The sequence below is a fragment of the Homo sapiens genome, chromosome 5 (assembly GCF_000001405.40).
Source record: "Homo sapiens chromosome 5, GRCh38.p14 Primary Assembly".
Taxonomy (NCBI): Eukaryota; Metazoa; Chordata; class Mammalia; order Primates; family Hominidae; genus Homo; species Homo sapiens.
The window spans coordinates 146,129,444-146,152,036 of NC_000005.10; the positions used below are offsets into that span (position 1 = coordinate 146,129,444).

Consider the following 22,593-nt stretch of genomic DNA (forward strand, 5'->3'; position numbering starts at 1 on the left):
AGTTTTTATCCTGCTAATACATCCAGTATTCAAGTACGGTTATTTGGTATATAGATCATGAGCACATTTCTGTATTGTTCATGCATTTAAAAATACAAAAGAGCCTAGCTAATATGGCTGGAAAGGAGTTATTAAACCAGCCAATCTATTTATCTGTAAGCCTGGGAGAAATAACTGAATTTATATTCATAGTAAGAATGCTACTATCCCTGAATATTAAGTCCTATATATGCCAGAAGTTTTATATAAAACAAGAATACTTACACAAATATACACAAATATACACCTATATCTTTGTTTTTAAGCAGCTCATAACAATTGTTTATATCTTTCTCAATATTTTCACCTTTTAAAAATATGTATGCACTGTTGTGTATATAAATAAGGGCACATATATCCATCTGAATAGGAGATAGCTCTGGTTTAACCCGTCATAATTATGATGCTGAATCCAGCATTACTCTTGAATTACTCACTTTCAGACTTTCTCTCTTAAGTAACAATATTAGCACAACACTTATTTAATGAAGCCAAAATCAAAACCACTCGAAACATTTTAAATGCATGAAGGTACCTTTCCCAGGAGTGTCCAGATGTGCTCACACAAATGTGGACAGAATGGAGCGAGGAGAAGTGTCTGAACTTCAATAAACCGGAACACAAGTTCTCTGTGCATCCCTTCCACAGCCAATTCACGGTACTTATCTTTTGCGGCCTATAAAATTTGAAATTATTTACCATTTCCCTCACCTTCTTTAAAATAAAAATAAAGGGAAAAATTGCAGTATCTTGGTTTTAACACATTTTTAAGTTTCTAGTCTTTTAAAAATCCATAACAAATTACTGTAAAGGTTTTACTTTAAGAATCTGCAAGTATTTATCTTTGTCCAAAGTATATGGCAGTTTTATACTAATAATTCTCAAAAAAAGAATTTTTTTACAGACAGTTTGTAACTGAGACATAAAAGTTGAACAACTTTAACTGTATATTAAGGGTGACTGCTCTTAGCAGCATATAGGATATTAAATATAAAAAAAGACTATAAATACAACACATTGCTATGCCCAGCCATTTATCCTTATTTAACCACAACTCTGAAAACCAAGTTATATAAAACTCAATGTGATATTTTACACAGCTCATTGCGTAAAGCTACATTTTTACTTTAAGCACTTTAAATGCCAAACTTGAGGAAATACTGACACCTTGTGGAAAACCTCAGAAAACGCTTGCTCTCAAATTAATGGCAATTAATTACAATTTTGCCTTTGTTTTTATCAATTTTGAAATGTTTTCCTGGAAAGTATAGCTGAATTTTAGATTTAATCTCCTTTATATTAATGCTCATAGCTTAACTAGGAGCAGAATTATTAAATTAAATGGACACAATAGAAAAAATACCAAAGATAATAACTTAAAATCACAATTTATTGAAGAATTTAAAATTTTTCTGGCAGGATTTTCAGTCTACACTTTAGGCGAGTAATTGTGCTATAGCAGGAAGAAAAAAGGGGGAAAATACATAATGTTCACATTGACATGTTTTATAGCTACCAAAAGAATCAACAGCCTACCTGAAACTCAAAAAACCCTGTTTTCAAAGCTTCTTTAAACATCATCTTTTCATAGTTTTGATCTGTTTTTATAATTCCTGCATTCAATTCACTATTGAATACGGGGAAAAAAAGGTTATTGAGTTTAAAGGCACTTATACATAGCTATAAAAAACTGCTGCATACACAAATTTAAAATACTGCTTTTTAATATACAAATTTGAAATACTGCTCATTTAAGCAGTAAAATGAGAACAATGCCCAGAACATTTAAAACTGCTCAACACAACACCATCTTTGCGTTCCTTAAAACAAATTACTGCAATCTCTCTATTGTCTATCCATCCTTAAGTACTGTCATCTGACACTGCTTAGGGCTCCTGTTTATGACAATAAATGATGCTTCTTCAGAAATTTCCTGATGGACACTTTATTCTTATAAAGCCCAAAATGCAACATGAAAATAGCCTAACTAAGGTTGTAGCCAAGTTTTTTTTTTTTTTTTTTTTTTTTTTTGAGACAGGGTCTCTGTCACCTAGGCTAGAATGCAGTGGTATGATCACAACTCACTGCAGCCTCAAACTCCTAGGCTCAAAGAATCTTCTCACCTCAGCCTCCCAAGTACTAGGACTACAGGCGCAAGCCACCACACCCAGCTAATTTTTTTTTTTTTTGTAGAGACAGGATCTCACTTTGTTGCCCTGGCTGGTCTCAAACTCCTGGGCTCAAGCAATCCTCCCACCTCAGCCTTTCAAAGTGCCTGGTTTACAGGCGTGAGCCACAGTGCCTGGCCATAGCCAGGTTTTAATTATTGCATTTACAATAACTAATACTGGATATCAGAAAAAAATTTTCTCATACCAATCCAGGTTCTTCTTAATTTGGCCTAATCTGGCCCCAACCTGTTTCATTTCCTACCTCTGCCCACAAGATAATGTACTTCAAATAAATATCAGACCCTTTCCATGGCTTATCCACACTTTCTCCTCTCCCTGAAAACATTGTTTATTTTTCAAGAAACCCAGAATTTGGCCGGGCGTGGTGGCTCACGCCTGTAATCCCAGCACTTTGGGAGACTGAGGCAGGTGGATCACAAGGTCATGAGTTCGAGACCAGCCTGGCCAACACAGTGAAACCCCATCTCTACTAAAAATACAAAAAATTGGCCAGACGTGGTGGCAGGCACCTGTAATCCCAGCTAGTAGGGAGGCTGGGGCAGAAGAATAGCTTGAACCTGGCAGAGGCTGCAGTGAGCTGAGATTGTGCCATTGCACTCCAGCCTGAGTGACAGTGCGAGACTCTGTCTCAGGAAAAAAAAAAAAGAAACCCAGAAGTCACATGACATCTCTGAATTCTCCTTGTCTCTATTATTGTGCTTAGAAACTGGGTGTTTGTCTCTCTTGCTAGACAATAAGGATCAGGTCTCATTCATCTTTATAATACCAGTGCGTAGGATGACTCCAAAGATATTTATCCTTTTCTTTTAATCTACTTTTCCTTTAACCATTTTGCCCTACTCGAAAACAAGACAACATGGTAAAATGGTTATGAGAACAGACTTTCAAGACAGACAGAAGCAAGTTCATATCCCAAGTTTGCAACTACTAGCTTTAAGGCATTTAAGGAAATACTTAATTGTTCTAAGCTTCAGTTTCTTTATTTATAAAATAGAGCTAATAATATCTGTATTAAATAAGGTTGCTTTGAGGTTAAAGTCAGATAATGGACACAAAATACTTAGCATAGTACCCGGCACAAGTAAGCCTTCAATGAACACTAGCTATTATTATCATTAGTTTATTTTATTAAAAAAAAAAAAGAAAAGAAAAGAAAAAGAAAACAAAAATGCACCAGGACTAAGTAACTCTAAAACACAAAATGATTGGGATCTACAGATTACCTGGCAAAAACTCTATCATTGAAAGTGCTGGCAGGACCACTTCTTAGGCTGTCCCAGTTGGCAACCATTTCTTTCACCCACTCTACCCAGGTGTACAGACGGAGAATACCTGCATCTGCCATGGCTTCCACAAAGTTGGCATCTTCTACAGTGTCACCAGCATCAGCCAGAGCCAAACGCATTCCTGGAAGAAGAAAAAAAAATTCAATGCATTAAAAATATGGTTACTGAGTATCAACTGTGTCCTATGTGTCCAGTTGGATACCTTGCAAAGCCCATATATAAATTAACAAATGCTTTAAAGGACTGTCCTGGATCAACAACAAAAATTAAAATCACCAAAAAGTAGCATCCCTAACCGTGATGTTAAAATATTCGAACCATCCATATTGATTTGCATCCACTAAGCACCAATATGTGTTTCTTCTCAGGCATGTTGAGTTAATGAGATAAAGTGATCTTTAATGAGGCAGAGATAGAAAATGATAAAGTGGGGATAAAGACACACCTTTCATTGTGGTTTTCTTATCAACATTTCAGCCTCATTTAGAGGTAGCAAAATACATTTTAATACATGAGAATACACACTGGTGCCTTATGTGTACAAATGCATATGAATTTTTCTCAGTTTTGAAACTAGGTTCTTACAAGTTTATCACTAATAAAACTTTACTTTTTCAATTCTCATCTCTCAGTACTACCAAAATCTTCCATTCTAAAATATTGAAAAAAAGAACCTAAATGTCCATCAATTAAACTGTAGGATATCCCTACAATGGAACACTATAGGGTTGCAAAAAAAAAAAAAAAAAAAAGAGGGAACTCATTATGTAGTTATTTCCGTCTTTAGCTTTGGTGTCCAATCAAAGCATTCAGGTTCTGCACTTTGCCTTTTCCACTTAACAGTTCATATTTGTATACTAACCCATACATACACATATCTATGTTTTTTGTTTGTTTGTTTGAGATGGAGTTTCGCTCTTGTTGCCCAAGATAGAATGCAATGGCGCGATCTCGGCTCAGTGCAACCTCCGCCTCTTGGATTCAAGCAATTCTACTGCCTCAGCCTCCTGAGTAGCTGGGATTACAGGCATGCGCCACCACGCCCGGCTAATTTTGTACTTTTAATAGAGACAGGGTTTCTCCATGTTGGTCAGGCTGGTCTGAAACTCCCGATCTCAGGTAAACTGCCCACCTCAGCCTCCCAAAGTGCTGGGATTACAAGTGTGAGCCACCACACCCAGCTGTTTAGTTTTATATCTACATATCTATACACAAAATAAAAATCATGAGCTCATACTTTTATCACCAAATCCAATCTGACCCCATAGGGCTCATTCTAGCATTTTCTCTTTACTTATTTATAGCTTCTTTTTCTGATAGTGAGCTCTGTGAGGCAGAGGTTCTCATTATCTACCTGTTTACTTATTTATTCAATCCTAATATATACATAAAGTGGTTTCATAATTGCTTATATATCTTGTAAGAAACAGACTAACTATATTATTTGGATACAGTTCCGTCTTTGGCTTTGGTGTCCAGTCAAAATACTGAGAACACAAACTGAGTTAGCCATGACCAATAAAAAGAAGTACCATGATGACCAATGACTAATTATATAAGAAATGAATGGTTCTTTCAGGATAGTGCATTTCTTCTCTTGACACGATAATAATAAAATGTAATAGGACTGAGGCCAGACAAAAAAACAATTTTCTGAAAAAATCAATGTTCCCAGGTTCAAGACACATTTAGGAATACCAAATACAGGCCAGGCATGGTGGCTCATGCCTATAATCCCAGCACTTTGGAAGGCCAAGGAGGGTGGATCACTTGAGGCCAAGAGTTCAAGACCAGCCTGGCCAACAAGGCAAAACCCCGTCTCTACTAGAAATACAAAAATTAGCCAAGCGTGCAGGCACATGCCTGTAATCCCAGCTATTTGAGAGGCTGAGGCACAAGAATCGCTTGAACCCTGGAGATGGAGGTTGCAGTGAGCCAAGATCATGCCACTGTACTCCAGCCTGGGTGACAGAGCAAGACTCTGTCTCAGTTAATAAGAATGGAATACCAAATACAGAGGAAATATCTTGGAAAAGCTTCCTACATACTCAACATTTTTTTTTGAGACAGAGTTTCACTCTTGTTGCCTAAGCTGGAGTGCAATGCAATCTCAGCCCACTGCAACCTCCGCCTCCCGGGTTCAAGCGATTCTCCTGCCTCAGCCTCCCAAAGTAGCCTGGATTACAGGCACCTGCCACCACACCCAGCTAATTTTTTTTTTTTTTTTTGTATTTTTAGTTGAGACAGGATTTCACCATGTTGGCCAGGCTGGTCTTGAACTCCTGACCTCAGGTGATACACCCACCTCGGCCTCCCAAAGTGCTGGGATTACAGGCGTGAGCCACCGCGCTTGGCCCATACTCAACATCTCTACAAAACAAGTCTTGAATCTTAGCAATGATATTGAGTTCATTAAAGGAAGACTCAAACTAACTTCAGCTTGATTTGTTCCTGAACACATCATGTCAGCAATTCTTATATATTAAATATTATGTTGCTCATCCACAAAGGAAACATTAAGATTTTAAAATTTTGTTAAAAGCAAAACAGAAAGTAAAATTAAAACACCAATTTTAACGTGTCTTCTATAATCTGAGAACTGGACCCTACAGAACAGCAATAAGAAAAATGTTTACTCACCATCTGCTGAAAATTTGTCAATAGCTTGGGTCAAAGTGAGGAAGTTGCCTGTGGATTTTGACATCTGAAATAGAGAGTCAGTGATCAATCATTAATAACAGTAATATAAATAAACCAAATGAGCCAAATAAAATTAACTAGGTTGGCCATGACCAGATAAAAACAAAAAAGAATTCAAAATACGGAAAGGAAAAGATATTACACTAATTTTAGAGCGGTGAAAACTGAATTTCATCCGATAAAGTGCCTTGTTTGGGTTACTCAGCTATCAGTGACACAGCTAGGAGAGGACCTCCAGACTCACACTCAGTCCACTGTGATTTAGCCTATACTGTCTGGGTTAGACATGTGTAATGATTCCACTATAACTCTAGAACACCACCTGGTTACCTAAGAAAGAGCTTTACGGCAATTAGAATCATTCAGAAATGGAATGGACCAGCTCATGAGGTTGGAGTTATGATTTTAGGAACCCTCCTATCATTAGGGTCACAAAAATCGGTTGTTCAAGTTGTGCTCTGCCTTAGGGCAATGCATCGGAAGAGGCACCACTCACAGCCTAGCAATCTTTATCGCTTTAAAATTGTATGTCATTAGTTTAACTATGCTGATATCAGAAGGAAATGATGATTATATCAGTTTTCTATTATACTACATGGCAATACATATCTTGTTCTAATAAAATCAGGATAGTACAACAACTTTCAGACAGCCAAAGAAAATGTCATGTTCTAACAAGAATAATAAATGTATTGTTCTTCTTTGACTTACAAAGAAGAAATGAGTTCAATAATCAAAGGTTCCTTATTGAGCTAACAAAATCTATTAAAATCGCCTGTGCTTCTAAACAGCAGTTTTTCAGTCTAATATACAGATTACCTATTTTTTTTTTTTTTTTGAGATGGAGTCTTGCTCTGTTACCCAGGCTGGAGTGCAGTGGCGCAATCTTGGCTCAGTGCAACCTCCGCCTCCCTCGGTTCAAGGGATTCTCTTACCTCAACCTCCTGAGTAGCTGGGATTACAGGCGCGCACCATCATGCCCAGCTAATTTTTGTACTGTTAGTAGAGACGGGGTTTCACCATGTTGGTCAGGCTGGTCTCTAACTCCTGACCTCGTGATCTGCCCGCCCTGGCATCCCAAAGTGCTGCAATTAACGGGCGTGAGCCACCGCACCCGGCCACAGATTATCTTAAAGGAACATCTTTTATTACCTTTCAATATTAGGGCACAGGCTAAGTCTGATGTTACATAATGCAATTTACATCAGCTGCCATTTGTTTAAAGCTACAACTATTTTCTCCTTTTTCCCTTTTTTTGAGATGCAGTTTCACTCTTGTCGCGCAAGGCCTGAGTGCAATGGCACGTTCTCAAATCACTGTAACCTCTGCCTCTCGGGTTCAAGCGATTCTCCTGCCTCAGCCTGCAGCTGGGATTACAGGCGCCCACAACCAGGCCCAGCTAATTTTTTGTACTTTTAGTAGAGATGGAGTTTCACCACATCGGCCAGGCTGGTCTTGAACTCCTGACCTCAGGTGATCCACCCGCCTTGGCCTCCCAAAGTGCTGGGATTATAGGCGTGAGTCACCGCGCCCAGTCCCCTACAACTATTTTCATTATGACATATAGACACTTATGACAACTAATACAGTCATTGCTATTCTGTTGGTTACAGCAAAATTCACTGGTTGTAACAAATCTAATTTGTTACCATTTTTATTAATGAGGAATAAATAATTTTGTACTTTTTTTTTTAAGTCAAGTAGGGGTGCCCTTCTCTAATTTGCACAGAAGTATCATAGGGGCAAGTGAGGGGTCTGTCAAGTTTGCATAACCTCCTACTGAGGATATTGATTAATAAGATAAAGTACTATGCAGTCTGTTTTAAAAAAATCACCCATATTATTAATAGTAACAGTAGTGATAGTAACAGCAGAAGCATAGAGAGGACTACTATACTGCTTGGGAAGGAGCATTACGTGACATCTAAAAATCTTACAGACTCCAAAATTCTATCATTCTACTAATTTAGTGGCCAGTCACAGTATAAAACAAAAAGCACCGAGTCATTTTCTCAACTTACTAAGAAAAATAGCTCTTCCCATCATCTTGGATCCTATGGAGGCCTGCTGGGAGCAGGACTTCTAAAAGGAAATATGGCTGGAAGGCTGTGGTCCAAGGCCATTTTTGCTGGCTATGAGCAATGTCTCCAGAACACACAGCTCTTCTTAAAATTGAAGGTGTTAGCTGGGCATGGTGGCTCACATCTGCAATCCCAGCACTCTGGGAGGCTGAGGTGGGCGGATCATGAGGTCAGTTTGAGACCATCCTGGCCAACATAGTGAAACCCCGTCTCTACTAAAAATACAAAAAAATGAGCCGAGCATCATGGCAGGCACCTGTAGTCCTAGCTACTCAGGAAGCTGAGGCAGAATTGCTTGAATCCGGAAGGTGGAGGTTGCAGCGAGCCGAGATTACGTCATTGCATACCAGCCCAGGCAACAGGGCGAGACTCTATCTCAAAAAAAAAAAAAAAAAAGTGAAACTGTTTATGCTCAAGATGAAACAGAATTCTATGTGGGCAAGAGATGTGCTTATGTATACAAAGCAAAGAACGACCATGACTCCTGGCAGCAAACCAAACAAAACCAGAGTAATCTGGGGAAAGGTAACTCGGGCCCCATGGGAACAGTAGCATGGTTCATGCCAAATTCCTAAACAATCTTCCTGCTAAAGGTATTAGACACAGAATCTGAGTGATGCTATACCCCTCAAGGATTTAAACTAATGAAAAGTCAATAAATAAAAGTGGATTTGTTAAAAAGGAAAAAAAAAAAAAAAGAAATGGCTGGGTGCAGTGGCCCATGCCTGTAATCCCAGCACTTTGGGAAGCCGAGGCGGGTGGATCACTTGAGGTCAGGAGTTCCAGATCAGCCTGGCCAACATACTGAAACCCTGTCTCTACTAAAAACACAAAAAAGTAGCCGAGTGTGGTGACAGGCACCTGTAATCCTAGCTACTCAGGAGGCTGAGGCAGGAGAATCGCTTGAACCCAAGAGGTGGAAGTTTCAGCAAGCCCAAGATCGCATCACTGCATACCACCCTGGGCAACAGTATGAGACTCTGTCTCAAAAAAAAAAAAAAAGAAAGAAAAAGAAAAAAAAATTTGAAGGTGTTTATGCTCAAGATGAAACAGAATTCTATTTGGGCAAGAGATGTGCTATGTATACAAAGCAAAGAACCAGACGGTGACTCCTGGAGGCAAACCAAACAAAACCAGAGTAATCTGGGGAAAGGTAACTCAGGCCCACGGGAACAGTAGCATGGTTCATGCCAAATTCCTAAACAATCTTCCTGCTAAGGCTATTGGACACAGAATCGGAGTGATGCTGTACCCCTCAAGGATTTAAACTAACGAAAAGTCAATAAAAGTGGATTTGTGAAAAAAAAAAAAAAAAAAATGGCCGAGTGCAGTGGCTCATGCCTGTAATCGCAGCACTTTGGGAAGCTGAGGCAGGCGATCACTTGAGGTCAGGAGTTCGAGACCAGCCTGGCCAACATGGCGAAACCCCATCTCTACGGAAAAAAACAAAAATTAGCCGGGCATGGTGGCATGCGCCTGTAATCCCAGCTACTCAGGAGGCTGAGGCAAGAGAATCGCTTGAATCTGGGAGGTGGAGGTTGCAGTGAGCCAAGATCGTGTCACTGCACTCCAGCCTGGGCGAAAGAGTGAGATTCCATCACAACAAAAAAAAAAAAAAAGAAAAAGAAAAAAAAAGGAAAAGAAAACTCTTCTGGGTCACAATGCTAAGCTCTTTATGATTCCTGTCCCTGTCTCTGTCTCTCTTTTTCTCTCTTTACTTCAGTTGCAATTTGTGTCACCTTTGGCCACTCTAAATACAAATGTTACAAATAGGTAACTCTTCCCTATCTCTCTCTTCAATTAATACTATCTACTCCCCTTGCTCAATTTTAAAGATAAAAATTAATTTATAGGCCAGGCGCGGTGGCTCACACCTGTAATCCCAGCACTTTGGGAGGCTGAGGGCAGATCATGAGATCAGGAGACTGAGACCATCCTGGCGAACACGGTGAAATCCCGTCTCTACTAAAAATACAAAAAAAAATTAGCCAGGCGTGATGGCGGGTGCCTGTAGTCCCAGATACTCGAGAGGCTGAGGCAGGAGAATGGCGTGAACCCAGGGGGCGGAGCTTGCAGTGAGCCCATATGACGTCACTGCACTCCAGTGTGGGAGACAGCGAGACTCCGTCTCAAAAAAAAAAAAAAAAAAAAAAAAATTAATTTATGCCTCGTCCTAAATATGCTAATTAGAAGGTTTTTAACTCTGATTAATTCATATTATTTCTTATTTATTTACTAATTTTTTGGTAGAGATGGGGTCTCACTATATCGTCCAGGCTGGTCTTGAACTCCTGGCCTCAAGTGATCCTCCCACCTTGGCCTCCCAAAGCTCTGGAATTACAGGCATGAGGCACCACACCTGGACACATTATTTCTTACATACATTTAAAAAAAAGTGCAACAACCTAAATCTGAAAAGCCTTCCACAGAATTTTAAACTTTTAAGATGCAATAAGCCTTACCTTCTCAGAGTTCAGGAGGAGATGTCCATTTGCTCTCACAGCTGTAGGCCATTTGTCACTTCACAGATAAATGTTTAAAGATAGAAAATAAAAAAACAAAGATGATAGTTCTGGCTTAAAATTTTGAGGTAAAAGCTAATAGACTCATAAAGGCTTGCTAAGATAAAAGTGCAAGGATATACACTATAGTCCTTTTTGTAATGGGAAGTGAAAACAAATCAAAGGACTGGCTACATAAACTAGGATACAGGTATACAATGACGTAACTACTTAGGTGGGGCTACACGTATGGATATAAAAAGATCTTAAAAATATATGTGAAGGCTGGGCGCAGTGGCTCACGCCCGTAATCCCAGCACTTTGGGAGGCCAAGGCGGGTGGATCATGAGGCCAGGAGTTCAAGACCAGCCTGGCCAGGAGGGTGAAGCCCCATCTCTACTAAAAATACAAATATTAGCCGGGTGTGGTGGCTGGCGCCTGTGATCCCAGCTGCTGGGGAGGCTGAGGCAGACAGTTGCTTGAACCTGGGAGGTGGAGGTTGCGGTAAGCCAAGATCGCGCCACTGCACTCCAGCCTAGGCGACAAAGCAAGACTCCCTCTCAAAAAAATGTATATATACACACACACACATATAAATATACACACATATATATACACACACACACATATATATACACACACACATATATATACACATATATACACACATATACATGTGAAAACAAGACAGAACAGTGTAAACAATGTGGTATCTTTATATACATTAACAAATAGAGATATCAGATGCTGGTATATAAAATCACAAGAAACCAATAGCATCATGATGAATTTTGGGAAATAGAGTAGTGTGCAGGCAAGGATGAAAGTTCACTTTTAACTTTTTGCCTTTATGTATTCTTTAAATTTTCAAACTATGTACATGTCATTCATTCATTCTAGCAATGAGATCATATGGGGGGTTGAGAGCAAGAGTTGTGGAGCCAATCTCTCTGGGTTTGCATACTTGTACTATCTTCATTAGCTGGGTAGCTTTGGATTATGATTTCTTCCTCTTTATTCCTCAGTACACTTCCCTGCCTACAGACATGGATATTAAAGACCTTCCTCGAAAAGCTATAGTAAAAAGAGTTATTAAAAGTGATTTAAAAAGTACCTGGCATAAGCTCTTGATGTCAATACTTATTTGTAATTTTTAAAAACCTAACAAATGTGAAAAAAATTGGTGCAAAGGAATGAAGATTCAACTTATTGGTAAAGAATACTTCTGAGATACCAATTTGCCTACAAATGCATTGTAAACAATAGAGAAAAATACTAGGGCCAGGCACGGTGGCTCATACCTGTAATCCGAGTACTTTGGGAGGCCAAGACAGGAGGATCGCTTGAGTCCAGGAGTTTGAGACCAGCCTGGGCAACAAAGTGAGACCTCGTCTCTACAAAAAATAAACAAAATTAGCCAGGCAAGGTGACATGTGGCTAGTCCCAGCTACTCGGAAGTGTGAGGATCACGTGAGTCTGCGAAGTTGAGACTGCAGTGAGCCAAGATCATGCCATTGCACTCCAGCCTGAATGACAGAGTGAGACTCTGTAGAAAAATAAATAAATAAATTAGGTAAGTAATAACAGTGGATGACAAGTAGTGTAAGAACCACATTAAATTTATCTTATTCCTCTGGGCTGGGCACGGTGGCTCATGCCTGTAATCTCAGCACTTTGGGAGGCCAAGGCGGGTGGATCACCTGAGGTCAGGAGTTTGAGACCAGCCTGGCTAACACGGTTAAACCCCGTCTCTACTAAAAATACTAAATTAGCCAGGCGTAGTGGTGCACACCTGTAATCCCAGCTACTCGGGAGGCTGAGGCAGGAGAATCGCTTGAACCCAGGAGGCGGAGGTTGCAGTGAGCTGAGATCACACCATTGCATTCCAGCCTGGGCAACAAGAGCAAACCTCTGTCTCAAAAAAAATAAAAAATATTCGGGAGGCTGAGACAGGAGAATTGCTTGAACCTTAGAGGCAGAGGATGCAGCAAGCTGAGTTCGTGCCGCTGCACTCCAGCCTGGACTCTGTCTCAAAAAAAAAATTATTTTATTCCTCTACTCCAAAATCTTCGTTTTATTGTTGAAGGAAAAAATGTAATTTTATTCTAAATACAAGAAGGCATAAGAAATTGTCTTGGTTTTATGAAATAAAATTTGAACAGACTGAGAGGTTTGTTTCCTCAGCTACTTGAGGAACTAGAGGGAAAAGTAGACATGTCTGGGTAAAGAGGGAAAAGGACAGAAGGATTACTCTGAAGAAACAGACTCTAGTCAGAATGTTACCACAACTAATGCTGGAACCTTGGGGCGCTCTGCTCTAAAGAGAAGGTTCTTTCCAATTCTAATGGTCTAGAATTATTCCTGCATTTAACAGGTCAAATGAATTACTAGCAGACCAGCAATGCACCTGAGATATGACATGCTTTGGTGCCTGGGGTAGGTATGTGGATTTCTGGATGTAAGAGATAGGAGGTGGCCTTTCTGCTTTAGTACATATTTAAGATAAGAAAAAGAATGTAACTGGCAAATCTATACCATCCCCTCCACAATAATTTATTAGATATTTGAAGCCACAAGACACCCCTATTGACAATCAATAAATCTAGTCCACACCTATTTTATCATTCACCTTTGTTCCGGCCACATAGCCACATGATTATAAAGGTAATATGAAAGATGATTTGGAACAAGATCCTTGCCAGAGACGCGAAGATCAACAGGATACCAGAATTCAAACTCCTGCTTTAACTGATCTAATTTTTCCTTTGCAATCTGAGTCTTAGGAAATGGAGCCTCCTTGAAGAAAACATAATCCCAAACTTCCTTGGTCATCTGTTGCGGTCTGTATTAAAAATAAAACAAACTATTTTATATATATATATATGTAATTTCTTTGGAAGAATCAGTACCTGAATCGAAACATGGATTAGGAATCTCTTTCTTAATGTAGTTACAGGAACAAATAAGGACAACAGCTTCCATAAGAATGAAGAATAGATGATGACAGTAAGGGGCTATTTATTAATTTTTCCCAGTTCAATAGTAAAAAAGCAAAAATATCATGACAAAATTCTGTGAAATAAATCTTATTAAAACATTTAAATACATAAATCAAATATCACAACTCTTACTGACAAATTATGCTCCTTTCCCTTATCTGTTTACCAACCTAATGCCCAGCGGAGACTCTGCCTGTCCATGCAAGTTACCCCCCTGCAATAGGTGTGCAACTGTGTAAAATGCCATGTAAATAGTGGAGTCAGAAAGTGATTCAATCAGCCACTGCTCATCCCAAGGCAGGTGAGTGCCTGAAAAATAAAAAGTAACGCATGAGGAACCTGAGAGACATTTCATCTATAGAATCCACATTTTTAAGAAGGGGGCTATAACATTTACAAAGCTACTTATTTAGGAAGCTCTTAAATTATTCTTGAATAATTAATAAAAATAAAATTGTAGATAAAAGACAAAATGGGCCAGGCATGGTGGCTCACGCCTATAATCCCAGCACTTTGGGAGGCCAAGGCAGGTGGATCACCTGAGGTCGGGAGTTCAAGACCAAACTGGCCAACATGGTGAAACCCCGTCTCTACTAAAAGTACAAAAAAAATTAGCCAGGCATGGTGGTGGGTGCCTGCAATCCCAGCTACTCGGGAGGTTGAGGCAGGAGAATCGCTTGAACCCGGGAGGCAGAGGTTGCAGTGAGCTGAGATCGCACCACTGCACTCCAGCCTAGGCGACAGAGCAAGACTCTGTCTCTAAAAAAGAAAAAAAAGACAAATGGTTGAAGCTTGGAGTCTCTCCATAAAAAAGTCACACCACAAAATCTATATAGAGAGGGCATATTTCTACCACACAGTAGATGATAGTGGACTATATCCTAGTTTTCATGACCATCCAGAGGAAACTTACTGCTTTCAATTCAGAAAACACTAGAATTGAGGGCAGGGGGGAAAGGTAAAAATGTATATTTTCTGTGTAACTGGCAAAGTTATCCAAACAGAAAAATTTCAAGTTTGTTTACCTAGACCATAAGTTCTTGAGCAAGCATGTTCTTGTAGCCAACCTAAGGTGGCTTCAAAATTCCTCCTGGTCTCCTCACAGAATCTAGAAAAGAGCAAAAGACAAAGTGTATCTTTACTGGTTCACTTTTTTTGTTGCATTTCAACTTTACTGTTTCCACATTTTTCATCTCCTTTTTCCTCCTTCATCACTTTCTCCCATCTTACGTTTCCAGGTTCTTCAAGCACTGAGATGTCTGTTTCTTCCAATTCTCTTCTCCATAATCCAAGTACCTGGGAGTGGACAAATTGATATGTTTTTTTTTAAGTCAAAGGTGAGCAAATTGACTAGGGGAATTTTCTTGCTATAAGAGACTAACCACTGGTCACACAGAGCCACAACACATTCATCTGACGACCTGGACATCACTTGTTTCTCTGGTTCCATGTAAATAAGTGCATCTCCCTAAAGGAAGGTAAATAAACATACATTAGATACTATGTCAAATCAATCTTCATTCCTCAAGGATAAAAATTACTTTAAAAAAATGCTATACCACCAATAACTGAAAGCCCACATTTTCATTATGTCTTGCCCGCCTTCCCAGGGTCAGTCATCTTCTACCTTTCCTTCTATGTAACACCTGCTTTTAAAAAGGCATGAATCTTCATCAAGTGGATCACTTTCTCTAGCTACTGATTATTTCATTTCAGTGAAAATTAAAAAGTGAACAAAAAGGAAAAAAAAACACAAAAGATGGTCAGCAGTTTCGAATCCTATGGTTTGAAGGTTGGGCTTCCTATGACAGTTTTTTGGGGTTTTATGTTTTTTTTGTTTTGTTTTTATTTTGACAGATAGGGTCTTGCTCTGTTACCCAGGCTGGAGCGCAGTGGCACTATCATGGCTCACTACAACCTCGACCTCCTGGCTCATGTGACCCTTCTACTTCACACTGCAGCCTCCTGAGTAGCTGGGACTACAGGCACATGTCAACCCACCCAGTTAATTTTTTAATTTTTTTATAGAAATAGGGTCTCACTATGTTGCCCAGGCTGGTCTCGAACCCCTGGGCTCAAGTATTCCACCTCAGCCTCCCAAAGTGTTTGGATTACAGCCTTGAGCCACTGTGCACAGCCCTATGGCAGCTTTTTATCCTTCTTATAAACTACTGCTTAAGAAAAAAAAAAGATATACAAAGACTAAACATAGAAAATCTTGTTACTAAAGATTTATAGTGCCATGAAAAATTTCCACTAGAAAACTGACCATGTTTTTGATTTTTTACCAAATATAAATCTTTCTTAATGCTATTATGATCCTAAATACTTTAAGCATGAAAATTGACGATGTTTTTGATTTCTTACCAAATATAAATCTCTCTTAATGCTATGATGATCCTAAACATTTTAGGCTAGGATAATTTTTAAAAATAAAATCCAGCATTATTATTCATAAAATGATTCACTGCTCTGTTTTTAATGCAATTCTTCATGCTGAAATTAAATAGCTGGAATTTTGGTTTAAAGATGGTAGATTAAAAACAGACATTTAACTCCCTCTCAAAATTCCAATAAAAAGACAACAAAGAGGGTTTTACAAATGGCATGAACCTACAAAGTCAAAATGAATGAGAAGAAAAAATATTAACTGAATTTTGAAAACAAAAAAGCAATATGAATGACAAATATATTAGCAGCAATTAAAAAGCTATCTGAATCCTAATAGAAAAAGCTGAAAAGCAATCCACTCTGCACTCTAGTTCCTCAGAAATTGGTGGCATTAAATAGAAAGAGACTCAGAAATTGGTGGCATTAAATAGCTCTAGAAATAGAGATAAGGGCTGGGCGTGGTGGCTCACGCCTGTAAACCCAACACTTTGGGAGGCCAAGAGTTCAAGACCAGCCTGTCCAACATGGAGAAACCCCGTCTCTACTAAAAATACAAAATTAGCTGGGCATGGTGGCGCACACCTGTAACGCCCAGCTACTTGGGAGGCTGAGGCAGGAGAATCGCTTGAGCCAGGAGGCAGAGGCTGCGGTGAGCTGAGATCGTGCCATTGCACTCCAGCAGCCTGGGCAACAAGAGCAAAACTCCGAAAAAAAAAAAAAAAGAAAGAGAAGAGAGAGAGAGAGAGATAAGGTGAGACTGAAAAGAAGAGCACCAACTAAAGTCATTTAAAGAAGTGGGTATCTGGGAAGTGGTAAAAAAATAACATAAGATAATATAAGATAAAATAAAATAAAATAGAGGTTAGAACCCCATATACTGCCCCTACCTATGCCAGAACCAAAAAAAAAAAAAAAAAAAAAAAGGCTAATTCTCTGGAAAAGGTAAAAGAAAGTCTCTGAACTAGAGACAAAGTTACAAGTATCATAGTAAAAATAGGGGAATTAAGTGAAAGTCAGCATACTAGATGTTGGTACACATTCCTAGCTATCTTCTCCCATCCAACTTCCAAAATGCTCAGTTGCTTAGACTTTTTTGTTTGTTGTGAGACAGCGCTCTGTCGCCCAGACTGGAGTGTGGTGGCGCCGTCTCGACTCACTGCAACCTCTGCCTCCCAGGTTCAAGCGATTCTCATGCCTCAGCCTCCCGAATAGCTGGAATTAGAGGCAGACACTACCATGCCCGGCTAATTTTTGTGTTTTCAGTAGAGACAGGATTTCACTATGTTGGCCAGGCTGGTCTCAAACTTGACCTCAAGTGATCCACCGGTCTCAGCCTCCCAAAGTACTGGGATTACAGGTATGAGCCACTGTGCCTGGCCACCTAGACCTTTTGAGCTAGAGATTGGCAGAATCTTCTGTAGGGAAATCTAACAAACCCAAAAGCCAATACTAAAAAAACTTAACAACCGGGAGTCGCCAAGGCCCAAATGGCCCTTTCTAGATCTCCCCCAGTGAAGCCTAGTGACAAGTCCTACCCATAAGCAAAAACATTTCTTTTTACACCCAAATATATTACATATCAACGGTCTTCCTCAGAGAAATAAGATTAAGATGTCCCATCTATGAAACAACAACAGCATCCTACAACAAATCAGCCAGGCATGGAGGCACATGCCTGTAGTCCTAGCCACTCAAGAAGCTGAAGTGGGACGATCACTTGAGCCCAAAGCCAGATCAGCCTGGGCAATATGGCAAGACCCCTGTCTCTTTAAAAAAAAAAAAAAAATCAGTCAGAAAACAAGAACAATTATTGAACTGGCCCAAAATTAGTAATTATTGAATCCGGGTGATAGGTATTACAGGAATTTATCATTCTACTCTCTACTTTTTTATACATTTGAAATTTTCCATACGATTCTTTAAAAATAAGTTCTTATAAATTTGTATTCATACACACACACAAATAGTAAATAAAAGCACATAGTAAAGAAAAGCTCAGGAAGAAAATGATGAGGGACTATCCCACAAAGAGGACCAACAGGACTGCCAGGATCTAAGAGGTTCAATATCTGAATGATAGGAATTCAAAAAGTGAAAATAGAGAATAAGAAAAAAATAAGATAATCAAGAAAAAAGTCAAGAAATGTTCCCCAAATTGAAGTACACAAGTTTTCAGATTGAAGGAGCCCACCAAGCACCCAGTAGAATGAATGAAAATTGACCTACACCCAAGGCAAATCATGAAATTTCAGGATACTGGGAGAAAAAAGATTATACAAGCCTCCAAAGTCAGGGGAAACAAGTTAGTTACAAAAACATCAGTCACTACCAGAAGAGTTTTCAACTTCTTAATAGCATCAATGAACCAAAAGATGATGAGGTAATACCTTCAGGTTTTTAAGGGAAAATTATTTCCAATCCAGAATCTATACTCAGGCAATCCAATATAAAGATAGAAGACATATTTCAGACATGAAAAGTCACAACAATTTACCTTCCAGGTACCCTTTCTCAGAAAAGCTATCAGAGGCAGAATTTCACCAAAATGAGAAAGAATATAAGGACATAGACATGGGATTAAGGAAACAGGAGATCCAGCTCAAGAGGAGCAAAGGGTATTCTTAGCAATAGTGGAGGAACATCCAAGATTTGTGCATCAGGACAGTAAGCAACCAGTTCAGACTAAAGCCAGAAAGCGCTGGAAGAGCTTTCTCTGAGATGGAACTGAAAGCACACTGATGTGTTTGAACTGAGTAAGAAAAGAAATAGACAGTTGGAAAAGAGTTGAGAAATGGAGTACTGACGAGTGTATTTTAATTAAGAATGTTTTAAAAATAAACCTAACTATTAATCCCAGGGAAAACCAAAAGCTGAGGATGAAAAATTATTGTATTATGGATAAGCCATGTCTCAAAAATGTAAATAATAACTATTCATCTAACATTTGTTATAACTACAGTGTACGGAGAAGACAGGGTATGGAGTAGTATATACCAATAAATGTGGGACGTTAGAGAAAACAAAAAGTAGGGGAAAGAGTGTAACTTTGATCTTCCTCCTACTCCTTCCAAGAGTAGGAGGTTAGTGGCTGATACCTAACCCTGAAAAAAAAAAATCACATTACAAGCATTTAGGTCAGAGATCTGTTAGAGATGGAGATTAGCCGGGCATGGTGGCTCATGCCTGTAATCCCAGCACTTTGGGAGGCCAAGGCGAGTGGATCACCTGAGGTCGGGAGTTCGAGACCAGCCTGACCAACATGGAGAAACCCCATCTCTACTAAAAATACAAAATTAGCCAGGCATGGTGGCTCATGCCTGTTATTCCAGCTACTCAGGAGGCTGAGGCAGGAGAATCACTTGAACCCAGGAGGTGGAGGTTGCAGTGAGCTGAGATCGCGCCATTGCATTCCAGTCTGTGTAACAAGAGCGAAACTCCATCTCAAAAAAAAAAGAGCTGGAGATCAATACTAAAACGATTAAATGTTACCCCCTCCAAGGAAGAGAAATTTAAATTATGGAAAAGTGATGAGGAAATTGCTGCTTTTTTATTTCAACAAGCCTAACAGACCATTGTCTCTCATAGTATTATGGGTATACAAAGTTGTCAAAAATAAAAATGTAAAGGGTTAACTCAGCTAAATAGAAGAGAGTTATAACAGAAACGGAGGGATGAGAGGAGGACGACAGAAACACCACAGAAAGAAAGGATTGTAACTACCAGTATCTAAAATGGCCACTGCCAGAAATATCATCAAAGTTCTCTACACATGCTATGCACACATCGACTTTAAAACACTACCTTTATCAACATTATAGATGGGATGTTCAAGTTAAATGAATTGCTAAATAGGTCTATTTTCTGCCGCAAAACTGTATGATATTTTTATTATAGCTCCAGGTTCTACTGTAGAACTCACTGCTAATAACACTGTCAAGTCTATTAACAGCTCTTCTAAAACAGCCTTCAGAGCATAGCCTATCACATACAGCGTCAATCATCTTTTTCTGAATAGTCTTCTTTACATCTTGAACCTTCTGTCCTTTAAATCCATCCACCAACATGATCTAAAAGGATGAGAGGGGAGAAAAACCACATATAAAACAGTTAGAATCTGCCTTGAGTTTCTTTCCTAATTTTCCCTAACTAAATTTGCTTCTGCCCACCGAAATATTTTTAGTATGAAATTTATCATATTTACAACGATAATTTTTCATTTTGGTATAGCATGGATAACTAATATTTATAACACACTTATCGTTCTGTCAGTGATACCCACACCTCACTAGGTATCACGGAGATACCTAGTGTGAGCATGATTAGGAAGGAATACTCACTTCCACTTCTTAAGTTTCCACATAGACAGACTTCAATTACACTCACTCACCTCATTCCTGGTGGTTTCTGAAGGAACTAAGTACATTCGGCTTCATCTAATTAGGCTCCTCTTTCTAACCCCACCTGCTGCAGGTGAGTATTCTTTGCCTGACCATGTGATAAAGCTTGCTCTTAGAAGGAGGCCTACTCTTTCACCTCTATCTTTTTCAGTAGGCCAATAACATTCTAGGGCAAAGTATTAGCTTATCCATTGTTGCCATCAATTAAGCCTCAATCACCTTCCAGCTTTCTCTGGTAATAAAGCAGATATTTTCACCTACATGACTCTTATTTTCATCTACATGACTCTTATATTTCTCTCAAATTGTTTCTATCTTAGGTAGAAAAGACATGCATTCTCTTTTGACATTCTAAACCTCTAACATACCAAAATACTTCAATATCTATTTAATCCAGCATTATAAAGTTATATTTAATGAATGCAGTGATTAAGAACACAAATCTGAATTAGCTGGGTGTGATGGCAGGGGCCTGTAATCCCAGCTACTCAGGAGGCTGAGGCAGGAGAACTGCTTGAGCCCAGGAAGCAGAGGTCGCAGTGAGCCAAGATTGAGCCACTCCACTCCAGCCTGGGCGACACAGCAAGACTCCGTCTCAAAAAAAAAAAAAAAAAGAACACAAATCTGGCCAGGTGCAGTGGTTCAAGCCTATACTCCCAGCACTTTGGGAGGCCAAGGTGGGCAGATCACTTGGGGTCAGGAGTTCGAGACCAGTCTGACCAATATGGTGAAATCCTCGTGTCTACTAAAAATACAAAAATTAGCTGGTCATGGTGGCACGTGCCTGTAGTCCCAGCTACTCAGGAGTCTGAGGCAGGAGAATCGCTTGAACCCGGAAGTTGGAGGCTGCAGTGAGCTGAGATTGAGCCACCGCACTCCAGCCTGTGAGACAGAGCAAGACTCCGTCAGATAGACACACACACACACACACACACACACACACACACACACACAAATGTAAATCCCAGAGCCAGGCTACCTAGTTTGAATTCCAGTTCCCACTGGCTAACTATCTGGCTAATCTCAAGTAAATCAGTTAATAATCTCTTTGTGCCTCCATTTCCTCATCCGTAAATTGGAGATAAGAGTGCCTACTTCAGAATGGGGTTATTTTCAGAATTAAGTAAATTAATATATAAGTGCTACATAAGTGTTGCTTTTATCATCATTCAAAATATGTGTCACTTCAAAAAAAAGAAATGTAACCAATTCTTGGTTATCCAGAAAAATGTAGGAAAGCTAAACTAAAAAACATTCTTGTTGATGTCCTTAAAAATCTTCATTTGACTCTGAAGCACCTAATAACTTGTTTGGATTTTTATGTTCTCTAGCCTAGCCTTCTTTCCATGGAAATATAAACCACATTAACATATGCACAATTAGGAGAAAAGAATGGTTCAGAACATGTTTGTTGAACTCACCTGGCATTTAGTAGACATTAATAAATAAATTAATGGACTGAATAAAACTGCTTATCTAAAATATGAACTCCTTAACTAAAAGAGCAAAAGAAGGGACCAGGTATTCTCCATTCAATAAATCTTTGAAGTTTACTGCATAATAATATGAACTAATTTGAAATATCTTGTCAAGAAATTCACTCCATAGAGATTCCTAGAGGGCACGAAAAAGACAATTTCTGAAAATGCTTTTAGGCAAAGGACATGATAAAAACAAAAATTAGAAATTTGGAAATAGAATACATTCTCATATTAAGCTCTCAAATCAATGTATAGCTGAAACTATGTTAAATTTTTCTACATTTTTTCTAATTAAGAAAATCACAGAGCATGGAGTAAAGCAAATAAAAACTAAAAAAAATTATTACTTACACCCTCATAAAATCCTTTTAGATATATCTTCTCCTTTGCTTCTGCAAGTTTTTCCCGGTCATTCTGGCTCTGAATTTTCAACTCATCACAAATGGTTACAGCAGAAAGATTTCCAAAACCTGGGATTTCAATGACTGGCACCTGCAGCAAACAGCAATCAGGAACGTGTTCACAC

At 39.1% G+C, this 22,593-nt stretch overlaps 1 protein-coding gene and 2 pseudogenes across 5 annotated transcripts in view, besides 2 other annotated features; 2 read left to right on the plus strand and 1 right to left on the minus strand.

Moving 5' to 3' along the window:
• Positions 1-22,593, minus strand: part of LARS1 (leucyl-tRNA synthetase 1) — a 69,617-nt gene that overhangs the window by 16,410 nt on the left and 30,614 nt on the right. For all 5 annotated transcript variants that reach the window (XM_011537656.4, NM_001317965.2, NM_016460.4 and 2 more), the window contains 12 exons: positions 22,419-22,559; positions 20,179-20,256; positions 15,181-15,266; positions 15,029-15,094; positions 14,824-14,906; positions 13,969-14,107; positions 13,429-13,641; positions 10,761-10,818; positions 6,158-6,221; positions 3,455-3,638; positions 1,576-1,666; positions 575-715 (listed from right to left, as the gene is read on the minus strand). In XM_011537656.4, coding sequence (XP_011535958.1) covers positions 575-715; positions 1,576-1,666; positions 3,455-3,638; positions 6,158-6,221; positions 10,761-10,818; positions 13,429-13,641; positions 13,969-14,107; positions 14,824-14,906; positions 15,029-15,094; positions 15,181-15,266; positions 20,179-20,256; positions 22,419-22,559 — 1,344 coding nt within the window. The remainder of the gene's footprint in view (positions 1-574; positions 716-1,575; positions 1,667-3,454; positions 3,639-6,157; positions 6,222-10,760; positions 10,819-13,428; positions 13,642-13,968; positions 14,108-14,823; positions 14,907-15,028; positions 15,095-15,180; positions 15,267-20,178; positions 20,257-22,418; positions 22,560-22,593) is intronic.
• Positions 3,716-3,885: an enhancer, noted in NCBI's record as "experimental_81335 CRE fragment used in MPRA reporter constructs". NCBI's record gives its function as "activates a minimal promoter by MPRAs in K562 erythroleukemia cells, with activity observed for both the introgressed and non-introgressed 5:145512807 variant alleles {active_cell/tissue: K562}" and the evidence as "EXISTENCE:reporter gene assay evidence [ECO:0000049][PMID:34662402]".
• On the plus strand, positions 8,691-8,938 carry RPL35AP16 (ribosomal protein L35a pseudogene 16; annotated as a pseudogene).
• RPL35AP17 (ribosomal protein L35a pseudogene 17) lies at positions 9,318-9,597 on the plus strand (annotated as a pseudogene).
• Positions 22,022-22,191: an enhancer, noted in NCBI's record as "experimental_81447 CRE fragment used in MPRA reporter constructs". NCBI's record gives its function as "activates a minimal promoter by MPRAs in K562 erythroleukemia cells, with activity observed for both the introgressed and non-introgressed 5:145531113 variant alleles {active_cell/tissue: K562}" and the evidence as "EXISTENCE:reporter gene assay evidence [ECO:0000049][PMID:34662402]".